Source organism: Homo sapiens, chromosome 9 (assembly GCF_000001405.40).
Source record: "Homo sapiens chromosome 9, GRCh38.p14 Primary Assembly".
Classification (NCBI taxonomy): Eukaryota; Metazoa; Chordata; class Mammalia; order Primates; family Hominidae; genus Homo; species Homo sapiens.
Window position 1 is genome coordinate 95,731,344 of NC_000009.12, and position 18,985 is coordinate 95,750,328.

The 18,985-nt window shown below is 45.1% G+C and overlaps 3 annotated features.

The window, feature by feature from the left end:
• Positions 5,481 to 6,003: an enhancer, noted in NCBI's record as "H3K4me1 hESC enhancer chr9:98499106-98499628 (GRCh37/hg19 assembly coordinates)". NCBI's record gives its function as "activates a minimal SCP1, AML or CMV promoter by ChIP-STARR-seq in primed H9 embryonic stem cells {active_cell/tissue: H9 hESC(primed)}" and the evidence as "EXISTENCE:reporter gene assay evidence [ECO:0000049][PMID:30033119]".
• Positions 6,004 to 6,526: an enhancer, noted in NCBI's record as "H3K4me1 hESC enhancer chr9:98499629-98500151 (GRCh37/hg19 assembly coordinates)". NCBI's record gives its function as "activates a minimal SCP1, AML or CMV promoter by ChIP-STARR-seq in primed H9 embryonic stem cells {active_cell/tissue: H9 hESC(primed)}" and the evidence as "EXISTENCE:reporter gene assay evidence [ECO:0000049][PMID:30033119]".
• Positions 7,927 to 8,096: an enhancer, noted in NCBI's record as "experimental_110728 CRE fragment used in MPRA reporter constructs". NCBI's record gives its function as "activates a minimal promoter by MPRAs in K562 erythroleukemia cells, with activity observed for both the introgressed and non-introgressed 9:98501637 variant alleles {active_cell/tissue: K562}" and the evidence as "EXISTENCE:reporter gene assay evidence [ECO:0000049][PMID:34662402]".

Genomic DNA, 18,985 nt, shown 5'->3' on the forward strand with positions numbered 1-18,985 from the left:
TTTCTCTCACATGAAGAGGAGACTAAAATGTAACACTCCAAGCCTGGTGTGGAAGCTCTTTGGTATCCCCAGGAACCCAGGCTCCTTTCTTTTCATTGCTACCTTCTAAGCCTATGACTTCCACCTCATGATCCAACATGGCTACCCAAGCTGCAGCCCTCCTCATTATCTCCATTCCAGTCAGCAGAAAAAATGACAAGGAAGGACACATGTTATTGACCAGCATTTCATTTCCTGGTCACATCTAGCCATAAGAGACGGTGAGGAATATGGATGTGGACTTTTTTTTTTTTTTTTTTTTTTGAGACAGAGTCTCGCTCTGTCACCAGGCTGGAGTGCAGTGACGTGATCTTGGCTTACTGCAACCTCTGCCTCCCAGATTCAAGCGATTCTTCGGCCTCAGCCTCCCGAGTAGCTGGGACTACAGGCACATGCCACCCCGCCCAGCTAATTTTTGCATTTTTAGTAGAGACAGGGTTTTACCATGTTGGCCAGGATGGTCTCGATCTCTTGACCTCGTCATCTGCCCCTCTCAGCCTCCCAAACTGCTGGGATTACAGGCTTGAGCCACCGCGCCCGGCCAGAATGTGGACTTTTTAGGTGGGTAACAATGTGCCCAGATAAAAGTTGGGATTCTTTCATTAAAGAAGAGGATAGTGGGTATTGGGAGACAGCCACAGAGGGAGACTGTTATTTATCTAATAATGACACAAAAATATAATGATGAGTCATGAGAAGTGCTATGAAAGAGATAAAGAACTACTGAAGTGGATAAAAAGCTATGTTTGCAGGGGCAAGGAGTGTTTAAGAAATGCTACCCTTAAAAAGGGGACTCTCAGCTGATACTTGATTCATGAGTGGGTTTTATCCAGGTATAGAAACAGGAGGAAGAGCATTCCTGGCAGAGGGCACAGCACATGGGAATCCCATGAGTCTAGGGGGAATGTGGTGGTGTAGTCCAGGGTTGTTGGGGGGCGCACTCAGGGGCAGCTCCAGATTATCAGGAACTTTAGGAGTCATGTTACAAGTTGTGAATTTGATTTAGTAAATCATCTGGTAAAGGACTGAGTGTGGGGAGTGGTGAGGGAAAAGAGTGTGCTCCAGGTAAAATGGTTAACACTGAGCACTGTCAGCCAAGAAATCCCATGCATGTTAGTTATTAGCCATGGGAGTCTCTCTAATCCATAGGAGACAAGGGCTTCCAGCTGCTAATGAAGCTTCTTGTTTAGGATCAGAGAGTCACAGAATGAGAAGATGGGTTTCTCAGAGCAGGTTTTTCTCTATTTGCTACGTAATGAAGTTCAACAGAAGTAGAGGTCTGTTGATAAGCCACTTCTACTGGCTAGGAGCAACCAGGAAAAAACTGGAAACAAGAGAATGAAAGGAATGAGAATTGTTCTAGTGAAAGGAGGAGACTTATTCCTCAAATCTGCACCTATTTTAGGTGGTATGTTATCTTTGGGCTCAGGTGAAGCTGACTTATTCCAAAATCAGTTTAAAATTTAGAGTGAACCACTGGGCTTCTGAACTTCCAGACTGGGAGAAGTTTAGGTTCATCGAAGCTTCCTGAGTTTTTAGTTGGAAATGAAGCCTGTTTGTCTGAATTGCTGATCCACCCCTGATCCCAGGAAGTTGGCCTGTGCCTTTGAGGTCACTGCTGGACTCGGGTGAAAATTACAAGCTTAAGACAGAAATAAACTGTCATTTCCTTGTAAATCAAACAACACTGATGGAGCAAAGCAAAAGTTCAAGGGTCATCACTGACATTACAAAAATGTTTTCTTTGCTGTATATTTTAATTATGCAAGTAGAACTGGAAATGGGTAATAAACACACTGCAGTTAAGAGTTTTGTTTTTAGAGTGTTCTAGACAGATGAAATGAGCGACACCATCGTCTTCATTACAAAGCTTGCCAAACATTGCTGTTTGGGGCAAGAGAGCTCAAGAACGGGGACTGGAGAAAATGTCCAGATGGAACATTTGAAAAGTCCAGATCTGGTATTCATGTCCCTTTGTCATCTCTGGCCAACGTGCACAAGTAGATTCATCTTCTTTCAACAGATGTATCCAAATAACACATTCCTTTACCACAGAAATGTTACAACAGCAATAACAGAACCCCTTGGGGGCCTAGTTATCTAGGTAGGAAAATTACTGACACCCAACTCTGTGCTCCATGCTGCAGGGAGGTAATTACCCCATGATAACCTGGGGCTCTTTGTTCTCTGAATGTCTCATCTCTGTTGCAGTTTCTGGATGCCTTCTTTTTCCATTAAAGAAAGCATTTATGTCCAGAGAAGTGCTTTAGAAGTCACTGGGGTTCTAAAAATTAAAGGGAATGAATTTAAAAACACAGCTACTTTACCTACTTCTTGAAAACAAAAAAAAACATAAAAGCTGACATCTGGTAAGTAAGAAACTTCCCCTGGAACCCAAGTAACTAACTTTTATTTTCTCATCATGAAAGGGACGGATCTCCATTGGTGGCCTTTCTTATTTACACCACACACATGGCGATGGCTCTGACATCCAGTTCCTTTAGTATAAACAGAAAGGATGGTCTTTTTCTGTGGAAGTTAATGAATTGAAAAACAAAGCTGTTCTGTATACCCACTCATTCCAAACGAATAAAAGAACTACAGTGTTCTGAGACTTGGGCAAAATAGTTGCATTCAAATTAATTTTGCCCCCTTCTACCCTTCCCCTCTCCACTTCCCACCACTCCCTCCTCGCCTTTTTCAAGGAGAAAAAGAACCATTTAATCACCTTATAAGGGCAGAGAGCAATAAGGGAATGGAGCAAGAGTCATGAGGCCCAGATCTTATTCTTGGCGCAGACGGGCTCACTGGGTGATCCAGGGCTGTCCCTTAACCGCCCTGCGCCTCTGTTGATGCAGCTGTGATATGGGGACACAGATGTGTGTGTGTGTGGCGCCGATGTGCAGCCTTTGGTGAGAGGTCCAAAGCTAAATGTGGGGTCCATTCAGCTAGTCATGGGCTGTTTCTATGTGAAATTGCTGTCTGCAGTGCAGGAATTGGGAGGTGACCTGGTAGGTCTTGGATCAATGACTAGTAAATAGATGCACAGAAGAAAAAAAAATGTCCAGGGAAGGGGAGTATGTCCCTGATGGCTGGGAATTATATTGCCATGGCAACCACAGCTACGAAAGAGCTCATCCCAATATCAGGCATTTCTTATCAGTAAGCTATGGTGCAGAATTTTCCTCTGCAATAGTAATATGTTTTTGTGGTGTATTTTAAGAATAAAGACGAAAAAGAATGAGCATGCCTCAGTTCCACTGGGCAGCATCTGAGGACCCCTCTCATGGTGGAGATCTGGTCAAACACTGCATCTGCAAGGAAGGGGAATTTGGGAATTTGCCCTTTCCTTTTGGACTTTATTGCATTCACCAGTCAAAGTCACTTAGAATGTTACAGTTCCTCTGAAGTGGTTTTCTGCTGTGCTGGGCATCAGAGACAATGTAGGCAGAGCTGAGCCACCTTCCTGCAAACAAGCGTGCTGCCCTTGCTTCTGAATGCTCTGTAGAGTCCCAGTGGACTTGCATTTCTTTCTTTCCAATGGCTTTCCCTGCTGCCCCAAAGCATTTCCTCCCTGTTCTCTGTGGCTGCCCAGAGCTCCACCGACCTGGAAACTCTTACAAAATGACTTGTGAGAATAGTGGAGATTTGTACACCGTAGCCCAAAGTCTAAGCCTAAGAAAGGAGGCCCAATAGTTGGTCTTACTCACGGCTATCATGGTGGGTGTCTCTGAACCTGGGTTGGGTTAATCACCACCTGGTTGCAAGGTGCTTGAACCTCATGCATAAAAACAGAGGTCCTGACCAAAGCAAGGCCATGGAATGGGGCCTCAGGCCATCCTTCTCCCTGCCTCTCCTGCAAACACTTTACTTCATTCTATCTTTCCAAACAGCATTCTTATTCACGAGAGATTCTAAAAATTTCACACGTGAGAGGCTCCCAAACATCCTTTTGAAAGCGATGTGCATTTTTGACCTCTCCACATATTATGCATTTCAGGTGTGCTGGGACCAGGTTCACTTTGCATGTCCTGTCTTCTTATCTTCTTCTCCTGCTTCAATCGCTCCTCCACTGTACCACCAGTGTGGAACAAAAAATTGGACACCTTCTCTTTAAAAACTCCTCCACTGCATGCAGATGAGGTCCAAATTTCTTTGCCCTGCCTGGGAGGCCCTTCTTGATCTGGCTCTGATCATATCTCCCTTTCTACCCCTACCTCCCTCCACACAGCTCCAGGTCTGTGGACCCATGGCTGCTTCTGGAATGCATTTCTTTCCTTTCCATCTCCCTTCTTTTCTTTCTGGTGAACTCTTGTGCGTCCTTTAAGATTCAATTTAAATGTAATATCTCAAGGCTTCTCTAGAGACTGCGTCTACCTCTACCTGGAGGCAGAGTTACTCACCCCTTTTATCTGAGCTATCACTGTCCCTTTGTGAGTTTCTCTTTTGGAGGAAGCATCACATTGTAGGGGAATTACCTGCTCCTGTGTCCATCTCCCTCAGTAAACTATAAACTCCTCTTGGGCAGGAATAAGGTCTTACTCATCTCTGTGAAACTAGTTCCTAGATCAAGGCCCACAGGTGCTCAATGAACAGGGCAGGGCAGGAATGCATGTATTGAACTCCAGGGGCTGATGAATATAATCCTTTGTTTTAAATTTTGGAGACATCTAGTAATTGAAGCCACCAACAATTGATATAAATTTTCTTTTCTTTTCTTTTTTTTTTTTTGAGACAGAGTCTCGCTCTGTCGCCCAGGCTGGAATGCAGTGGTATGATCTCGGCTCGCTGCAAGCTCCGCCTCCCGGGTTCATGCCATTCTCCTGCCTCAGCCTCCCAAATAGCTGGGACTACAGGCACCTGCCACCACACCTGGCTAATTTTTTGAATTTTTAGTAGAGACGGGGTTTCACCGTGTTAGCCAGGATGGTCTCGATCTCCTGACCTCGTGATCCGCCTGCCTCGGCCTCCCAAAGTGCTGGGATTACAGGCGTGAGCCACTGCACCCGGCCCTATAAATTTTCTTTATTTCCTGGGTAGGTATTAAAGTAAATTCACCTTTACAACTATTGCAAAGATGGAGATAACACCTTAGGATGAAGAGCTCCTTGTAAATGAAAAAGTCCTGTTTTAGATAGGCTCCCCTAGTGGAGAGGCTGGAGGCCGACAACTCCAGGAGCGATCACACTTGAGCTCTACTCACAGCTCACTGTGGCCAGACCCTCCTAAGCCCTCCCTTTGCACTGCCACAGAGCCCCGCCAACAACTTTCCAAAGGGAGCATTATTATTATTCCCATTGTGCAGGTAGGAAAACTGACAATGAGGTAAGTTACAAAGTCCTGCAGCTGGTAAAAAGCTAAGCAGGATGTGAAGCCAGTTGGTCTGATGCTGGCGCCTCATGTTTCACCGCCCCCGCCTGCCTTTTAATGAGCAAGGGGGGTAGGGTGGGTTATTAAAGTGGCAATAATAATAATTTTAGGCAGCCCTTACTGTGTGTCAATCACGGCTCTATGTATTAACTCATTTAATCCTCACAGTGACCCTGTGAGAGGGCTGCAATTATTATCCTCATTTTACAGATGAGAAAACAGACAGCAAGGTTAGAAGTTTGCCCAGAGGCCACAGAGCTAAGAAGTGGCGAATCTGGGATAGAAACCCAGACAGACTGGCTCCAGAGACCTGCTCTTAACGACCTGCTCGGCAACCTCCCAGGAAGCCAGGACAGGGCTGGCTGTTCAGGCAGGATCCAGAGCCTCGAGGGCAAGAGGAATTTGGGGTTCTCAGGGACCTCAGCCAGGGCCCACAATAATGACCCTCAGCCTAGCCCAAGTCACTCTGCATAGACATCACATCTAAGTTTGCGATGTTCTTGCCCTGGAAACACGAGGTTCCTGGCAGGCAGTCCGGAGGGCAGCCCCAGCCTCCTCTGGGCGGACACTGGAACCCTCAGACGGCTCTGTCCCCAGGGGCTCTGTCACTCCCCTGCTCAGCTGCTCTCCCCAGGGGGTCTGCCGCCTCCAGCTGCCCACGCTGTTCTCATCCTCTGCTCATGGCTTCTGCTTCCCTGGGCTCCCACTTTCCTCGTGGCCTCGATGGCCAGGGCCCCTGCGGCCCCCTCACCGTGGACTGGATTCTGCCTGCTGCTCACTCTCTGTTCCTCCTGCGCACTTGTCTCAGCCACAAATCATTTTATTCTTTTTACTTTTCCTGATTCTGGTTTTGGAAGGAAGATACTGATAGGCCTAGTTCTTTTTCTTTTTTTGTTTTTTTGTTTTTGTTTTTTTTTTTTTAGACGGAGTTTCCCCTTGTTGCCCAGGCTGGAGTGCAGTGGTGCGATCTTGGCTCACCACAACCTACGCCTCCTGGGTTCCAGTGATTCTCCTGCCTCAGCCTCCCGAGTAGCTGGAATTACAGGCACCGGCCACCACATCTGGCTAATTTTGTATTTTTAGTAGAGACAGGGTTTCTCCACGTTGGTCAGGCTGGTCTTGAACTCCTGACCTCAGATGATCCACCTGCCTCCGCCTCCCAAAGTGCTGGGATTACAGGCATGAGCCACCGAGCCCAGCCTAGTTCAGTTTTTTAAGCTGAGCGTGGTGTAGGTTACGGGCCAAGCTGTGAACATATTCTCCTCGGCTCAGGTGTGAGTGGCTGAGCCAGCCCTAGGAAGGCACATGGGTACCAAGGGTAGGAGGCAGAGCAGAGACAGTTGGGGAAAGAAACAGGCCCCCCGGGGCTGCCTCTTCATCAGGGGATGAGGACAGGCAGTCTCCTTGAAGGGGCTGCACATGTCCGATGCAACACCCCGGGGTGTGGACAGTCTCCTCGTTCCCTCAAAGCCTGACCCACTCCACATCCAAGGAATATTACTCCATGGCCAGAAGCAGGAGCATCCTCCCTACGATGATTGAGCATCTGTAAAACTAACTGTTTCCTTCAGGCCCCAGCAGAAAACAGATGGCACTTGCAAGCAGGGTGACTGGAGTGAGCTGAATGGAGGAGCTATTTACACAGCCATGGGCAGGATGAAGGGAAGCCAACAAGGGATGGCGACACGTCTTGGGGCCACGCTTTGGAGAGCTGTCACCATTTCCAGGCTGAAAGGGCAGGGCAGGGAACGGACACTCGAGGCCAGAGAGAGCCGGAGCCCTCGCTGCAGCTGGGTCTGCAGGAGATGATCCCCTCGCCCCTGCCCGCACATGGCTTTCAGGGGAGGAAAGCAGCCTTTGCCCACCTGTGACTCAGAAGGAAGGGAGCCGGCAAGATCAACATCTCCACCACCCTTCCTCCTGCCCTTTGATCTACTGCCAGTGCCACTCTCTGGCTAACCCAAACTGCAGCCAAAGGGCCAGGAAACCCAGTGAGGCCTGTGTAGAGGCCAGTCGGGGGCCCAGACCACAGCAGGAAGGGAGGGAGGGTGACCCAGGAGGAGCAACACACACACACACCTTGGCCGGGAGCCACTCGCTGCCCCAAGGTGACAGTGCAGACTCGGGCTCAAGAAGTAGCATCTTCCCTATTGATCACATTTAAGCTATTAAAAATATGTTAAAAGTAAAAAGAAATGGCCAGGTGCGATGGCTCACGCCTGTAATCCCAGCACTTTGGGAGGCTGAGGCGGGCAGATCACAAGGTCAAGAGATCGAGACCATCCTGGCTAACACGGTGAAACCCCATCTCTACTAAAAATACAAAAATTAGCCAGGCGTGGTGGCACACACCTGTAATCCCAGCTACTCGGGAGGCTGAGGCTGGAGAATCGCTTGAACCTGGGAGGTGGAGGTTGCAGTGGGCTGAGATCGCACCATTGCACTCCAGCCTGGGTGACAAGAGCAAAACTCCATCTCAAAAAAAAAAAAAAAAGAAAGAAAGAAAAAGAAAAAAAGTAGAAGGAAATTAGGCTGCTGGAGTACAGCTTCCTGGAGCTTCTGCCATGTTTTCCTGGGATCTCATGAGGATTTCCACTTCCATGCAGAGTGGTGGAATATTCCCATGATATTGAAAAAGTCATAGACGCTAGATGACAGACCTGCCCAGAACTCACTGTTTAGCTGAGGGTGTGCAGCAGGGATGCAGTGTGGATGGCCCAGGCAGAGGTGGGGGGTTCAGGAGGATGTCCACATCTCAGAGGAGTGTGGGAGATGGTCATTGACAGCCAGAAGTCAAGCATAAGGTGCAATCCTGGAGAGAAATGGGAAGTGGGAAAATGCTACATTGAATTTATCCCGAACTGACGAAGGTTAAGCTTCGGACATGTGCCAGAATGGGGTCTTCACATAGAAATGACATTTTATTTAATTAAAAAAGGCTATTTTAAAATGTTGCGCACCTGCCTTTGGGAGTGGCATATTCCATAGGCACAGAAAATTCTGTTGCTGTTGACCTGGCCTGGTGGGCTCACACCTGCAATCCCAGCACGTTGGGAGGCCAAGGCAGGAGGATCACTTGAGCCCAGGAGTTTGAGACCAGCCTGGGAAACACAGGGAGACTATACAAAATTTTACAAAAAATAAAAAGTTAAAAAAAAAAACTAGCCAGGTGTGGTGGTGTGCACCTATGGTCCCAGCTACTCAGAAGGCTGACATGGGAGGCTCACTTCAGCTCAGGAGGTGGAGGTTACACTGAGCCATGATTGCACCACTGCACTCCAGCCTGGGTGACAGAGTGAGACCCTGTCTCCCCCCTCCAAAAAAAATTTATTACTGCTGTGTTAGGTAAAGGACAGTGCCGAAATCCACAACTACCGTGCAACTTCAGCCCCTTCTTTATCTGCATGGCCTTTACCATAGATCTATTCCCGAAGGAGGAGTTTGTCCTGAGTAAAAAGGTTTTAATTGATGTAGTATGCAAGTCTATAAAAAGTTGATGATAGAATAAGATATGGCACTTGGGAAAGTTGCTTCATTATTGCATCTTTGAAGGCCCAAATGAAAGCGTGTTTAGATAAAAAAAAAAAATACCTCCCAGGGAGTTAAAAATGCACTGGCCCCAAGTATATCTCTTTCCCATCGCTCATGCATGTTCACACAAAGAGGAAGCCACTAAGGATCCTTGATGTTTAGTTGTTCTAGAAGTTGGTGGGAGGCAAGGAGGTTGAAGGTCCTGGCATGTGCCTCTAATTTATTTCCTTCTACTTTCCCAAGAGTGGGAGAACAAATATTTGTGAACTTTGTGTTATTAAAAAGTTCAGTCTGTCCGCTTAGCTCTTACCTATAATCCCATCAGTTCTCTGGACCAAGAATGAGCTTCGATGTCCAGATTAATTCAATTAGGCTAACAAATTCTGATTTTGTGTGGTTAACAAAAAGCTGCGTGTGAGTGATTTCTCTTTCAGAATGACTCTTTTGGCATTCTGCTGTGTCTTTTATGCCTTTCTGCTGAGGCATCCACCAATCCACTCACGACAGCCCCGGGGCAAAGGCGCAGACGTTTTCAAGGCCTTTCCTCTTCCCAATCTTGGTCTCTCTTGCTCTCTCTGCCTTACTTTCTCCCTCTCTCTCTCTCTCTCTCCTCTCTCTCTCCTCTCTCTCTCCCTTCTCCACAAACATAACTAATACTTAACAGGTTATGGTTGGTGTTTTCCTAACAACCAAGAACTCCGAGCCTTCCTCGCCTACTTAAGATTGATAGTGGCTGAGACCCATGGCAGTGCCCTTGGCTGCTAACCTCACACTTGACAGCTGAGCACTTCTCTCCCAGGTCTCATGAAATTGGGAGACCATTCTTTCTGCAGTTATCCTTGGGCAGTGGTTTTCACACAGCAGGGTGAAAACTGAAATCAATGCAAGATCATGACCAGAATTTTTAAAACAATGAAATCTAATAGAGTTGAAAATATCAGGCTATGCTGCATAGACTCAGATGAATCTGAGACCTTTGTTTCATTTGTGCCTATTTATTGAATGCGGTATATTGGCTTGTGGTGTAAACTGTATTTCTTACTCTGGATCATGAAAAAATGTGAAGCCACTGAAACAAAGGTTATTGAAGGGCAAACTCCTCAATTCACAGCTAAGTTTTTACCATGAAGGCTTGGCCTGAATGAGGTGGTGTCCAGGGGCCCTGTTGGCCTTCAGGTCCTTGTCTATCTCCAGGTTTCCGATTTCTCAAAATCATTTCCAATTCTAATTTTGTCCCCCAAAGGGCTGTTCACCACCACCTGTCCTCAGATATCTACCTCCACTGAGATTCCAGGCCTCAGAAAAGGGAGTGCTTGGGCCACCCCCTGGCCCGTCCAGCAGTGACTGGCTTTAAGGTGGGCAGCCAGTTCTGCTGGCTAGAAAACTCTTGAAAATGTGGACCTGGGATGGTCTCACAGAAAGACTTTTGTCCTTTCCTCTTCCTTCACACACATTCTCTCATCCTCCAGCCCCAGACCAGCTACACCACTGCTGGGAAGTCTTTGAAATGGCCTTGTGAAGCTCTAGTAGCAGCTATACGAGGTCTCTCACTGGGGCTCCACCTCCCAGCCAGAGAACTCTCCAGAGGATGGCAAAGCCTAGTCTTTTCGGTTCATTCCTGGGTCATAGTCTACTAACTTTTTAAAGGGATGCATGAAATCCTATCATTTCAAGCCCAAGAGAGAATTTAAACTTCAGTTAAAAAAAGCAGTGATTCAACATTTTACCCATTGTGTAATTCCATTCTGTTATTTAATCATATATCTCTCAACAAACATTTATTGAGCAACTATTTTTCTGTGTGAGGCACTATGCTAGGTGCCAAGTACTGGGCTAGGTATTCAATAGCAAGCAAAACAGAGAATGCTGAGTCCAGGTCAAGAGACAGCGATCCCCCAAATAACTGTGCTGTGATGTGATACTTGTTTTCGTCGATGTGAGAGTGCAGTGCTGTGATTTCTCAGAGCAAGGACATGTCACCAGGCCTGGGAACCATGGGAAAGGTTTTACAAAGAAGGGGACGAGAGCTGGGTCTTGAGGGGCTGGGAAATGGAGCTGGCTGGAGAGGAGCCTCTAACGCAGACTCTGGCTGGGTTCTAATGAGCTTTGTGTGCCAGATGTAAAAGGATGGATTATCCTGAGGGCAACAGGGAGCCAATAAGGATTTTAAAGCAGTTGACTGATATGATTCAACTTATAAACAAAAGTGTTCAATCCAGCTTTGTTTGCAATAGCAACCAATAAGGGGAAAAAAAAGCTGCCCATAATCAGAGGACAGATTCGGTCATTCATTGAATATCTATACAGTAAAATAGCACATGGGCAATAAAAATGACAGCGCATTTGATATTCATCAGCACAAAAGAATCCTTGTTGGAATTTTATTGAAATGCTTTACCCCACATTTACTACCATCATACTTTCTTTTAAACTCAGATTTAAAAATTCTGACTTTAAGTCTCAATGTGTTTAAAAATTGCATAATAAAAGTCCTGTGCAAAAGAAAAGAACCTCAAATAAAAGAATAACATAATATAAAAATAAAAGGAATAACTCCAGATCATAGTAAAGATCGGAATTTCTTCTAAGTTTATCACATTCTTAGGGCCATTCCTTATACTCTGTAGTGATAGTAATAGAAACATACAACTTTTTCCTCTTCCTTCCCAAGTTTCAGTCCCAGGATGCTATCCCTGAGACCTCTTATCTGCATTGCCTCAGCCATCCTGTGGTCGCAGTGTTTGCTCCGCATATTCTGCCCCTGCTCACGTCGCCCTTCATCCTGCCCCAGCCAGACATGCTGTCTGTACAGCCCACTGGTTCTGGCAGCCAGGAGTTTCCTAGGACCAGCAGCATCGATTGTGCTCCACTCAGATCAAGGAAAGAGTTCCCCTCAGCTCTTACCTGGCAAATAAGGTATGGATTTCCAGCTATGTTTTTCATTGGCTGGGGTTAGATTCTACTATAATCTAGATGTATCATTTGTGATAGATGAAGATCCCTTATGGGCGGTAACAGAGAAAGTTAAAAGGATGAGCATTTAAGTAAGTAGGACCTAGTACAAGAACATAATATAATCTAAATCTCAGAAAGAAGCTATGATATTTAAGAATTTAGCAATACATCTTAAGTAAAGAATATATAAAGTTTCTTAACAAATGAGGCAGCATTCCAAATGTCTTTGAAATGGCCTCGTGATATATGGTGAACCCAGATATATGTCGCATGTAGTCCAGTTTTTGCAGTCTCATTCCAAGAAAACACATTCAATTTAAGACACTTTCAAGAATGATAGAAATTTTGCTACAGATTTTCTGAAAGAAATTCATCTTTAGAAAACTTCCTGAAGATCTTCTTTGGAAATATTTCTGTTCCCCAAACTTCAGTACTCACAGTAGCTACCAGCTACCTCTCCTTTCTCTCGCCCACGCAGCTTTCTCATGGCATCCCCACTGACTTTCTCCTTCAAATGCTCTGCTTCTTTCTCCTCTGTGCCACAGTGGACAGCAGAATTGTCCCCTAGGACTTCTGTTTCCATTTGCCCCTATGCCAGACCTCTCTAGGATGGCCAGAGCATCTAGAACCACCTCATCTCCCGAGCATCCCTAGCACCCTCTGGGCAAAAGCACATGAGAGCCGCTAGGAAGCAAATCTGTTTCTCACTTCAACAGAAAACTCATGGAGCATTTTGGGGAATAAAATTCTCCACCTTGTTAACAAATCAGTAAGGAAGGATTATTCAGTAATTGATGGCTGACACTACTGGTTAACAATTTGGGAAAAAAAATATTACATTTCCTTCCCCCTGCCTAAATACATCCCAGATGGTCTGAAGAGTTTTACTTAAAATAAAAACCTAAATGAATTAGAAAAATATCAGTGGATATTCATCTAGTCACATAAAAGTCAAGAAAAAAAATCATAAAGACCTTGGCTATAACTTCATAAAAGTATACAATTCTACATGTCATAAAATGCCACATAAAGTTTTAGAAATGAAAAACTAAAGGAATATTTGCAATAGTTGCAACAGATAAATGTTCAATCTCAATTATTTAAACAGCTCTTACAAATCAATATGAAAAAGACAAACGCTTTAACAGGAAAACGGGCAAAACTGTAAATGGGCAATTCAAAGACAAATTTAAAAAGCTAATAAATATTGAAAAATAAGTGTTCAACCTTTGAAGGCCAGGCATACTCTGCCAGAAGAGGGAGGCAACGAGGTCAGTGGCTTATGGCCTCTGTGATGTGTGATGACAAAATCTTCCTGCCTCCATACATTGGATATATTTTTAGTGACAATCGTCATGATTTCATGGACCTGGGAGTTCTATTTTCTTTTTTGTTGTTGTTGTTTTTGTTTTTTCTGAGGCAGTCTGTCTCTGTCACCCAGGCTGGAGTGCAGTGGTGTGATCTTGGCTCAGTGTAACTTCTGCCTCCCAGGTTCAAGTGACTCAAGTGCCTCAGCCTCCTGAGTAGCTGGGATTACAGGCACCTGCCACCACGTCTGGCTAATTTTTGTATTTTTTAGTAGAGACGGGGTTTTGCCATGTTGGCCAGGCTGGTCTTCAACTCCTGACCTCAGGTGATCCTTCCGCCTCGGCCTCCCAAAGTGCTGGGATTACAGGCATGAGCCACCATGCCTGGCCAGTTCTGCTTTCTTTAAATCACTGTACATTGTATACACTCTTAACGGTTACGAAAATATGAAAATCCTTAAACGATCCAGGTGATTTAACAGAATACCTAAGCAACTTGTAGTTAGCGCTAAGCCCATGAACTTGGTAGACAGCAACTTATTTGGCCTTCAGAGCATCTGGTGTGTGAGTGTGAGTGTTTCTCAATAACTAACGTGATTCTGAGGTTTGCATTTATTTGTTCACCCCTCTAGGTGGACAGCCTGACTGTTATTTCCCTTATATCTCATTGTAGGTGGACTGGAACCATTTCTAAAGAGATCAGGAAGTATCAGGGAATGGGATCTATTCAGTCTTTCGGTTACCTGTAAGTTGAAGCTGAAAGTCAGCCTTGCTATCCATGGAACCTGCATCTACATATCCAGGTACTTTTTGCCTACTAAATCCTCTTCTCATTTCATGGAACTCAGCCTATCCCTGGGCTGCCTTTTGAAGCTTCTATTACTGGCTAACACAAGTGGTAGTCAGCCCAACTTTTGATCAATATCTTAGAATATTTTGCCACTGTTCTCAGTAAATGAAGTGATGTTTTCTCTTTTCATTAGCAATGAAAAGATAATCCATGTTGTTTCTAATAAAATCGATATTGAAGCTACATACGTGAAAAATATTTATAGCAATTTAGGAAATACATCACATGAAAACATTTTCGCTCTGGTTATAAAAAGGTCTTGAATTGACTTAATGAGGCCAAATATGGAAACCATGCCTTGGGCCTTCAAAAACTTTCTCTGGTCTTGAGAAAGCTCCTTGGCTGTAGTTTGAAACAGGCCTGGGGATTAGTCGAGCTTTCCCCAGGGCTCTGGGCATTACAAGCGAGTGCTGGTGGCAGGTGTCTGCACTTCCATGATTATCATGTTCCATCAGATGCTTTTGCTGTCTCACTGGGAATATGAACTCCCTGGCACTTGCCCTTCTCAATGACACCAGTGGCACCTGCAACTTTACTGGAGAGCTTTCTCTACCTACAAAAACATGCCGAGGTCACACTTGGGAAGTGGAAGTGCCAGGCATTTATCATCTCCTCAGCCAATAATAAAGAGGAATTGGAGGATAAATACCCCAACAGCCTCACCTTGGGTAGGACAACTCAGAGGCACATTTGGTACGGTCTCCTAGAGGTCCCCAGCAGGATTGAACCCCATATCCTGAACAGCGATCTGTTGACTGTAGGCGGCCCTCTCCCCATAGTCTTCACTTACCCCCTCTCCTGCTAGTGGTTCCTGAGATTAGTTCACAAATGAGCTTCTTGCACATGAACCTGTGTCTCAAAATCAGCTTCTGGGGGAACCCAACCTACTGCAATGTTGCTTAATAGTTGTTGTTTTTAATTTTATTGACACCATTGTCCATTGCAACCCATGTGATGTCCCTTAGGTTAGTCTGAGTCTCTTGGTCTGTCTAACATACCACTGACATTAGGTTCCATGTCAGCGAGTATACCTAGCCATTTATTATAGGTCCAGGCAGCTACCAGAGCTGAATTAGGTGAATAGGAAAAAGAATACCCAACCCTCACTACTACAACAGGACTATGATATGATCTCACTGAACTCTTGATCCTCTGCCCCAACCCCCCCGAAAAAATCCTGCTCCTCCTAGAGCTTCCCCCATCTGAGTAAACAGCAACCCCCAGCATCCAACTGTACAAGCTACACCCTTGGCCTTCTGCGTGACCCTTTTCTGGCTCTCACATATTTTACTGGACTTATCAGTGAATCCTGATGTCTCTGCCATCAAAATACAGATGCTCCCCAATTTACAATGGGATTATGTCCCAGCAATCCCATCATAAATTGAAAACATCATTAAGTCAAAAAATTATGTATTATACCTAACCTACCAAACATCAGAGCTTAGCCTGGCCTGCCTTAAACATGCTCAGAACACTTAGGTTAGCCTGCAGTTGGGCAGAGTCATCTAACACAAAGCCTTTATTGTTTTTTTTTTTTTTTACAATAAAGTGTCGACTGTCTCATGCAATTTGTTAAGTACTGTACTGGAGGTGGAAAACAAAAGGGCTGTATAGGGCCTGACATCCACAGCTGAAATCACAAAGGGCCTGAAGGATATGGGACACATTGAACTACAGTTAATTGGATGATGGGGATGCTACTGTGACAGGGTCATCCATGTCTGTCTTCTGATGAGCCTCAACAATACCTGGTAGCAGGCCCTGGGGCATCCACACTTGTCCATGGCTTGGCCGGCATGGACTTCTTCAGGAAGATCTCTAGTCTTGGTCAGGTTTAAAATGTAAAATAGCGAGACAGAGTACAAACTGTGAGGGGTAATATCTTTTCATTAAGCGTAGACTTTACTTCATTCATGAAATATTTTACTGAACGGGAGTCATATCTTTCAGTTGAAATGATTTTTCTGCTTTAGTAAATTACATGAGATATTCAACACTTGGTTATAAAGTGATGGTGATCGTGGTTGCGTGGCCGACTGGGAGCTGAGGCCCACTGCTGCACCCAGCGTCTCGAGTGTCATACTGCATATCGCTAGTCCAGGAAAAGATCAGAATTCAAAATGTGTACTGTGATTTCAACTGAATGTGTATCTGTTTTGCACCATTGTAAAGTTAAAAAAAATCATAAATCAAGCCATCGTTAGTCGGGAACCATCTGTATATCCAAAATACAACCACTTTTCATGGCCTCCTCTTCTATTCTTTGGTCCAAGCCAGGATCCTCTCACCTGGACTATTGCAAGAGCCCCCTGTTGATCTCCCTGCTCCCACCCTCATCCCTCTATGGTCTAATCAGTGGTTGGTAAACTTCCTCTGTAAAGAGCCAGATATTTCAGGTTGGTGCAATTATTTTCGCACCAACATAATAGTATGTATTTCAGGCTTTGCTAGCCTTATGGTTTCTGTTGCAGTTACCCAGCTTTGCCCTCACAGCACATAGACAGCCACAGAAAATAAATAAGCAAATGGACATTGAAGTTTGAATTTCACGTCGTTTTCATGTACCACAAAGTATTACTCTGTTTTGACTTCTTATCAACTATTTAAAAATGTAAGAAACACTTTTGGCTGGGTGAGGGGGCTCACTCCTATAATCCCAGCACTTTGAGAGGCTGAGGTGGGTGGACTGCTTGAATCTAGGAGTTCGAGAACAGCCTGGGCAACATAGGGAGACCCATCTCTACAAAAAATACAAAAAAACTAGCCAAGTGTGGTGGTGCACGCCTGTAGCCCCAGCTACTCGGGGGACGCTAAGGTGGGAGGATCACCTAAACCCGGGGAGGAGATTGTGCCACTGTACTCCAGCCTGGGCAACAGAGTGAGACCCTGTCTCAAAAAAACAAACTCCAAAACTCACTTTTCTCTCCAAAACCCACTCTTTTGTTCAGGCTGCACAAAATCAGGCTGAGGGCCAGATTTGGCCCACAGACTGTATTTTGCCTGCATCCGCCGGTCTAATACCTAGAGACAGTCCAGTCCTCCTAACACCTGCAGGACAATGGCATTCCTCCATAACCAACCTTCCCATCGCTGCTCACCTCCCTCAGCTTAGCAAGAAGAGTCCTCCAGGGCTCCTGTTTGCCACTTCCCTGCTCTGCTGGTCTCCACAGCACTTAACACCTCCGACCCTACTGTCTGTTTTACCTGTTTATTGCCAGAGTCCTCACACCCCAAATTAGAATGGAAGTTCCATAAGGCAAGAGATTTTATGCCCCCAAATCCCAGAACAGTGTCTTTAAGCACCCCCTGAAGAACTGTCAAATGAATGAATGAGTGGATGGATGAGTGAGTCCTTCCCATCCTTCTGCGATAGTTGAGCACAAACTGCGGCATGTCTCACTAGAAACACCCTGCAAGTGTTCCATCGAGCTAATTAGCTTTCCATTGTAGTTGAAACTTATTAGAAACCTGAAGAAGATTGGCCATTTCCTATTACCTGTTCTTCCAATTTTGACTAGTCACAGCAACAGAGAGAAATAAACATCTTCTCATCATTGGTGGTGTACTTGACTTTCAGAGCAGAATCAATTTTTTTTTCCTGAAATGAAGTTTCACTCTGTCAACCAGGTTGGAAGGCAGTGGCACAATCTCGGCTCACTGCAACCCCTGCCTCCCGGACTCAAGCCATCCTCCCACCACAGCCTCCCAGGTAGCTGGGACTACAGGTTTGCACCACCACTCCTGGCTAATCTTTTTTTAAGAATTTTTTTGTAGATATAGAGTCTCCCTATGTTGCCCAGGCTGGTCTCAAACTCCTGAGCTCAAGCGATCTGCCTGCCTTGGCCACCAAAATGCTGGGATTACAGGTGTGAGCCACTGCACCTAGCTTGGATCTTTTTTTAATATTCTCCTCTGTACAATAATATTATTTTCAAGTAATAATCATTAGTAGTCATCATTTCCTTAGTGTTTAGATCTAAAACAAAAATTTTAAAAGGAAAATACATTTCAACAGAAAGATATGATTCCCATCCAGTAAAATATTTCATGAATGAAGTACAATCTACACTTAATAAAAAGATACTACCCCCCGCAGTTTGTACGCTGTCTCACTGTTTTAAATTTTAAACACAAATAAAAACTGAAAGTGGTCACCTGCAGTGACAGAATTCAAGTCCCTGCAGTTGTAGTTTTTCCTCTCTACGATCACTGTGCTGTCACTCTTTCTTTCAAACCTGCTGCTTACATGCAGGCACGTGCAGCCCTGCAGGCCTTGTGGAATGACCTGCTCTGAAACCACCTCGGTTCTGGGCCCTCCTGAATGCAGCTTGAAACAGATGCCGTTGGCTGAGTCCGCACGTGTTGGAGGTGGGAGTGCTCCAGATTAACCAGATTAACCTCGTGGAGAATAGAATGTTATTGAAGGGTAAGCATGAAAATGTGCTGATTTGAAATCTACAGCTATATTATTAAAGCTCAGACAAAATCGCAGCAATTTTTAAAACCGAGACCAAGAAAAGGTTTTTTGGCCAAGAAGGAAGAGTTCATCACTGGTGTTGTTTAGGTGAAAATAAGAAGCAGACCCTTTAGTGGGTTTTATGGCTGCTTTTTAAAAAATTAATTAATTATTAATATTTTTGAGATAGGGTTTTGTTCTATTGCCCAGGCTGGAATGCATTGGTAAGATGATGGCTCACTGCAGCCTCAAATTCCTGGGCTCAAGTGATCCTCCCACCTCAGCCTCCCGAGTAGCTGGGACTACAGGCGTGTATCACCACACCCAGCTAATTTTTGTATTTTTAGCAGAGATGGGGTCTTCTTATGTTGCCCAGCTTGGTCTCAAACTCCTGGCATCAAGTGTTCCTCCCGCCTTGGCCTCCCAAAGTGCTGACATTACAGGCATGACCCACTGTGCCTGGCCTCATGGTTG